Here is a 7940-nt window from a genome sequence, read left to right as displayed (position 1 = left end):
CAAAACATATGATAGGCCACAAAACAAGTCTCAATAAATTTAAGAAAATCAAAATAGCAAGTATCTTCTCAGACCACAGCACAGTGGAATAAAACTGGAAATTAGCTCCAAAAGGAACTCTCAAACTATACAAATACATGGGAATTAAATAATCTGCTCTTGAAAGATTTTTGGGTTAGCAATGAAATCAAGATGGAAATTAAAAAATTCTTTAGTATGAATGATAATATTGACACAACTTATCAAAACCTCTGGGATACAGCAAAAGCAGCCCTAAGAGGAAATTTCATAGCGTTAAATGCTTATATCAAAAAGTTTGCAAGAGCACAAATTGACGACCTAACGTCACACCTCAAGGAACTGGAGAAACAAGAACAAACTAAACCCACGTCCAGCAGAAGAAAAGAAATAATGAAGATCAGAGAAGAACTAAATGAAATTGAAAAAACAAAAACAATATAAAAGATAAATGAAACAAAAAGCTGGTTCTTTGAAAAGATAAACCAAATTGCTAGACCATTAGCAAGATTAACCAAGAAAAGAAGAGAGAAGATCCAATAAGATCAATTAGAAATGAAACTGGAGATATTACAACCGATCACACAGAAATACAAAAAATCAATCAAGGCTACTATGAACACCTTTATGTGCACAAACTAGAAAATCTAGAGGAAATGGATAAATTCCTGGAAACATACAATCCTCCTAGGTTAAATCAGGGAAAAATAGAAACTCTGAGCAGACCAATAATAAGCAGTGAGATTGAATCAGTAATAAAAAATTGCCAACCCAAAAAAGTCCAGGAACAGATGGATTCACAGCTGATTTCTACCAGGCATTCAAAGAAGAATTGGTACCAGTCTTACTGAAACTATTCCAAAAGATAAAGAAAGAAGGAATTCCCCCCCACACCCCAATCACTGTATGAAGCCAGTGTCACCCTAATACCAAAACCAGGAAAGGACATAACAAAAAATGAAAACTATAGACCAATACCCCTGATGACTATAGATACAAAAATCCTCAATAAAATACTAGCTAACCAAATCCAACAGCACATCAAAAATATAATACATCATGATCAAATGGGTTTCATCCCAGGGATGCAGGGATGATTTAACATACACAAGTCAATAAATGTGATACATCACATAGATAGAATTAAAAAGGAAAACCATATGATCATCTCAATAGACACAAAGCATTTAATAAAATCCAGCACCCTCAACAAAATAGGCATAGAAGGGACTTAGCTCAAAGTAATAAAGCCATTATATGACAAACCCACAGCCAACATCATACTGAATGGGGAGAAGTTGAAAACATTCCCCCTGAGAACTGGAATAAGACAAGGATGCCCACGTTCACCACTCCTATTCAACATAGTACTGGAAGTCCCAGCCACAGCAATCAGACAAGAGAAAGAAATAAATGGCATCCAAATTGGAAAAGAGGAAGTCAAACTGTCACTGTTCACTGCTGATATGATCGTATACCTAAAAAACCCTAAAGACTCATCCAGAAAGCTCCTAGATCTGATAAATGAATTCAGTAAAGTCTCAGGTTATGAAATCAATGTACACAAATCAGTAGCACTGCTATCTACCAACAACGACCATGCTGAGAATCAAATCAAGAACTCAATCTCTTTTATGACAGCTGCAAAAAATAAAATAAAATACCTAGGAATACGCTTAACCAGGGAGGTGTAACATCTCTACAAAGAAAACTACAAAACACTGCTGAAAAATCATAGATTACACAAACAATTGGAAACACTCCCCATGCTCATGGATGGAAAAATTAATATTGTGAAAATGACCATACTGCCCAAAGCAATCTACAGATTCAATGCCATTCCCATCAAAATACCATCATCAGTCATCATAGAAATAGAAAAAAAATCCTGAAATTTGTATGGAACCAAAAAAGAGGCCACAAAGCCAAAGCAAAACTAAGCAAAAAGAATAAATCTGAAGACATCACCTGACTACAAATTATACTACAAGGCTACAATTACCAAACAGCATGGTACTAGTATACAAATAGGCATGTAGACTAAGGGAACAGAATAGAGAACCCAGCAATAAAGCCAAATGCAGCTATCTGACCTTTGATAAAACAAACAAAAACATAAATTGAGTAAAGGACATTTCAATAAAAGGTGCTGGGAAACCACATGTAGAAGAATGGAACCGGATCCCCATCTCCCACCATATACAAAAATCAACTCAAGATGGATCAAAGACTTTAAATCTAGGACCTGAAACCATAAACATTCTAGAAGATAACTTTGGAAAAACTCTTCTGGATATTGGCTTAGGCAAAGAATTTATGACTAAGATCCCAAAAGCAAATGCAATGAAAACAAAAATAAATAAATGGGACCTAATTAAACTAAAAGGCTCCTGCATAGCAAAAGAAATAACCAGCAGAGTAAACAGACAGCCCAGAGTGGGAGAAAATATTAGCAAACTGTGTATTCAGACAAAGGACTAGTATCCAGAATCAAGGAACTCAAATCAGCAAAATAAGCATCTGACAAAGGACTAGAATCTAGTATCTAGAATCTACAAGGAACTCAAACAAATCAGCAAGAAGAAACCAAATAATCCTGTCAAAAAGTGGGCAAAGGACATGATTACACATTTCTCAAAATAAGATATACAAACAGCCAACAAACATGAAAAAATGCTCAACATCACTAATCATCAGGGAAATGCAAATGAAAACTGGAATGAGATGCCACCTTACTCCTGCAAGAATGGCCATAATTCAAAAGTCAAAAAAACAATAGATGTTGGCATGGATGTGGTGAAAAGAGACCACTTTTACACTGCTGGTGAGAATGCAAAGTACAACCACTATGGAAAACAGTGTGGGGATTTCTTAAAGAACTAAAAGTGAAACTACCATTTGATCCAGCAATCCCACTACTGGGTATCTATCCAAGGGAAAAGAAGTCATTATGTGAAAAGCACACTTGCACACACATGTTTATAGCAGCACAATTCACAATTGCAAAGATATGGAACCGACCTAAATGCCCATCAACCAATGAGTGGATACAGAAAATGTGGTTTATATACACCTGAAGGGGTGGCCTGCCCCTCCACACCTGTGGGTATATCTCTTCAGGTGGGATGAGAGACTGAGAAAAGAAATAAGACACAGACACAAATTATAGAGAAAGAACAGTGGGCCCAGGGGACCGGCGCTCAGCATACGGAGGACCCACACCAGCACTGGTCTCTGAGTTCCCTCAGTATTTATTAATTACTATTTTCACGATCTCAGCAAGAGGAATGCGGTAGGAGAGCAGGGTGATAGTGGGGAGAAGGTCAGCAAGAAAACATGTGAGCAAATGAATCTGTGTCACAAATAAGGTTAAGGGAAGATACTATGCCTAGATGTGCACATAGGCCAGATTTATGCTTCTCTCCACCCAAACATCTCAGAATAACAGAGCAGCATTGCTGCCAACATGTCTCGCCTCCTGCCACAGGGCAGTTTTTCTCTTATCTCAGAATTGAACAAATGTACAATCGGGTTTTATACTGAGACATTCCGTTTCCAGGGGCAGGCAGGAGACAGAGGCCTTCTTCTTATCTCAACTGCAAGAGGCCTTCCTCTTTTACTAATCCTCCTCAGCACAGACCTTTCGCGGGTGTCGGGCCGGGGGACAGTGTGGTTTTTCCCATCCCATAAGGCCATATTTCAGACTATCACATGGGGAGAAATCTTGGATGATACCCGGCTTTCCAGGGCAGAGGTTCCTGCGGCTTTCTGCAGTGCATTGTGCCCCTGGTTTATCGAAACCGGAGAATGGCGATGACTTTTACCAAGCATACTGCCTGTAAACATTTTGTTAACAAGGCACATCCTACACAGCCTTAGATCCCTTAAACCTTGATTCCATACAACACATGTTTTTATAAGCTCAAGGTTGGGGCAAAGTTACAGATTAACAGCATCTCAGGACAAAACAGTTGTTCAGGGTACAGGTCAAAATGGAGTTTCTTATGTCTTCCTTTTCTACATAGACACAGTAACAGTCTGATCTCTCTTTCTTTTCCCTACATACACCATACAATACTACTCAGCCATAAAAATGAACAAAATAATGTCTTTTGCAGCAACTTGGATAGAGCTGGAAGCCGTTATTCTAAGTAAAGTAACTCAGGAATGGAAAACCAAATATCATATGTTCTCATTTATAAGTGGGGGCTAAGCTATGAGGATGCAAAGGCCTAAGAGTGATATAGCAGATTTTGGTGATGCAGGGAAGAAGGTTGGGAGGGAGGTGAGGGATAAAAGATTACATATTGGGTACAGTGTACACTGCTTGGGTGACAGGTGCATAAAAATCTCTCAGAAATCACCTCTAAAGAACTTATCCATGTAACAGAAAACCACCTGTACCCCAAAACTATTGAAACAAAAAAGAAACACACAAACACACAAAACTTTTAATATGACAAAACAAAGCATGCATATTGTAAAGAATACAAGCAATAAAAAAGCACAAAAGCATATAAAGCACAGCTGGAAAGTCTCTCTTCCGTTCCTCTGTTCACCCATATCTTTTCCTCAGATAACTACTGTCTACAACTTGGTGTGTACATTTTCCTGGAATTCTCTCTATGCAAATACAAACATGTTTTCCTTCCTTCTTTTCTTAATAAAAAAGATATATCTACTATATCATATATATGTATATATCTCACCTCAAGTGATCCTGCCATCTTAGCCTCCTGTATATCTGGGATTACAGGTGTGAGCCACTGGGCCCAGCTGAATTAGTTATTCTTATCTGTTTCCCTTTTGCTTTGGATTGTTATTTTGTTATTTTTTTTTGGCCTCAAGTGATTCTCTTGCCTCTGCCTCTCAAAGTGTTGGGATTACAGGCATGAGCCACTGCGCATGGCAAGAAATAAAATTTTTTTTTTTTTGGAGACAGAGTCTCACTCTGTTGCTCAGCCTGGAGTGCAATCTTGGCTCACTGCAACCTCTGCCTTCCAAATTCAAGCCATTCTCATGCCTCAGCCTCCCGAGTAGATGGGACTACAAGTGTTCACCACCACTCCTGGGTCATTTTTGTAATTTTAGTAGAGACAGGGTTTCACGCCATGTCGGCCAGGCTGGTCTCGAATCCCTGGCCACCCACCTCGGCCTCCCAAAGTGCTGGGACAGGCGTGAACCACCATGCCCAGCCTTGGATTGTTATTTTGTTATTGATTGATTTTGTTACTGATTTGTAGGAGCTCTTTATATAATTATGTTTTGAATATTTGTCAATTATGTTAAGATATTTTCTTCCTGCCTGCTGTATGCTTTTCATCTTTATTTATGGTGGAAAGTTACCGTTCAGGTCTTACTTGATCTCTATATCACTGAATCCCACTAACCCATTCTCCTCTATTCCCCTTGACCTCTCTTGTCTTGTTTATTGCTCTATTTCTTAACTTATTCCTCAAATATTGAGGTTCCTGAGGATTCTACTTTGGTTTTCTTCTCTTTTCACTCTACTGCCCCCTCTTGGTGAGTCCACTGGTTTTCATGGCTTCAGCTGCCATCCGACATGTGCCAGAGTCTCCCATAGCTACTGCTCCCAACAAGTGTCTCCCCTAAGCTCCAAACTCTGACATGCAATTATCTCCTTAAATCTCCCTGAGGGCCTACAGATTTTGCAAATTCAGCATGTAGAAAACTAATCTCATTGTATTTCCTGACACGTCTTTCTCCTGAGTGGTTCCTTGTTCAATCATCTGCCAAACCAGAAATGTACCTGCTCCTTACTCTTCCTCTCCTTAAGAACACTCCTGACTATCTCCTCCTCACCATCTTCACTGAGAGTGTTAGGCAATACTTTATTCTCTCTCACTTCACCTAAGGCAATGGTCATGCAAAGTTGTGGGTTCCAGACTGGGCTGTGTGAGTTAGAATCCATCTACCTAGTCCTGGACTTTGGTCAAGTGATTTAATCTCACTGGGTCTCAGTTTCATTATCTGTGAAGTGGATATAATGAGAGCAGCTCCTACATGGGGTTGTTATGTGGATTAAATGAGTCTATACTGATAAACACTTGGAATGATGCTTCGCTCTGTTAGTTGCTCCTCATCCTCCTCTTCCTCCTCTCCCCGTCCCCCTCCTCTCCTAAATGTTCTCTACCTCAAATAGTTCCCCCTTTAACCCACCCTCCAATCTACTGCCAGAACGAGCTTCCTAATATATGAATTTGATCACTTTCTTTTCCTCTTAAAATTCATCAAGGACCCTGGTTACACTCAGGTAAAGTCAGACTCCCGAGCCGGTCACCTGGTACCCTCCATCTAACTCCTGTTACTTCTCCAACCCTGTCACTTCAGTCTCCCCCCACCCCCAGTACGGAACCCTTAACTCCAGCCACAGGGAACCACCTACAGTCCCCTCAACCCCCAAGGGGCTGTTCTAGTTTCCTCTGGGGTCTTGGCATGTGTTTCCCTTTTCCCTGGGATGCTCTTTCCCACTCTTTTGGTTTGGACAACTCTCCCTTTACCTTGCAAATGTAGCCAAGGGTTTATAATTCCTCATCCATTTGGCTGCTCCTTCCCCCATGGTAAGGTTCTTGAAAGCAGTGCTTTCATATTTTTATCTTCGTATCTCCAAATCAATCATTGTTTGGCATATCATAGATGCTTAATACATTTTTGTTGAGCACTAAATGAATTGACAGGTAGGGGAAACTGATGTACATTGGAGCATCTCAGTGACATCTAATTTAAAGAAATAATTATGTTGCACCAATTACCCAGGGCATCCCCAGCCTATGAATACAGATGAAGTCACGTCAATAGCAACAACCTGGATTGTGGTGGCCATGCATTCATGCTGGGCTTCAGCCCTGTAATGTGCTCCTCAGGGACTGGGGAAGTCTATTAGGGGTGTCTCCCACATGCTTCTCTGGGCTTTGCAGTTGCTGGACATGCACCCTAGAGTCACCACTGAAGAAGGACGGGTGCACGTGCAGTGCCAGGCTCTGGGAGGTCTATGGTGATCTTTGTGGGTCTCTCTGCTTGAGAGTCCCCAAAGTCTAACAGACTTTTCTAATTTCTTTTTGGAACTCTTTTGCTCTCCATTGGACTTGGTGCAGACTCTTCAGGGGCAGTGTTGAGCTAGATGTTGGTCTTCAGCATTGCTCTTCTTTTCCCCAAACAGTGGGAGAAGGTCCAGCTCCCCCAATCCTGGCCCCTGATTCCCATCTGATGAGTTCTCTTCCAGGAGCAGCCTCCTTGCTCTGTGAAATGGGCTTCAGCCAGTCCCCCATCACCACCCCGCGAACATCCAATCAATTCATCAGGAAGGTCTGAATTTTGTGCTGGAGTTCCTGCTAGAATATGACTTCTTCTGCTATAGTAAGAATCCTGCCCTAGTAAAGACATGTGAGTAAGCCTCATTTCCAGAAAGGGACTGCTGCCCTTTAGGGTAGTGGCAATTCTATTGCTCTGATTGCTCCAGGAGCCCCCCACTTTCTCCCCTCACCCTGTTATTGTGTTTCCTAAGCAGAAGTTCTCACCAACTCTCTAGGGCAGAAACTACTGTTGCAAAACTCTTGTTCCATGTGAAGGTAATGGGATGCAATCTGGGCGGCCTAACCCCAAGAAGCCGTCCAGAGCTCTGGTCAGAGCCACAGTATTGCCCAACTGCTGTGGAGGCTCTGGCAGTGCCTGCAAGACAGAGCAGATAAGGACAGTGTGACTGCCTGTTGGGGGCCACAAAATGTGTCTTAGAACCTGTGTAGGGCAGCTAATCACCTTATCATAGAGTGTGGTCTGCACTTCTTCCAAAACAGTTATTCTCAGAAGCACCACAATCAGGCGCCTAGTGAATGACCTACCCCTTTCATAAGCCTTCTTGGACAATACAGGGATGTGATCTTATGCCACAGTACTACATAGTC

This window comes from Homo sapiens, chromosome 2 (assembly GCF_000001405.40).
Source record: "Homo sapiens chromosome 2, GRCh38.p14 Primary Assembly".
NCBI lineage: Eukaryota > Metazoa > Chordata > Mammalia > Primates > Hominidae > Homo > Homo sapiens.
Note: the sequence above shows the minus strand (reverse complement) of the source record.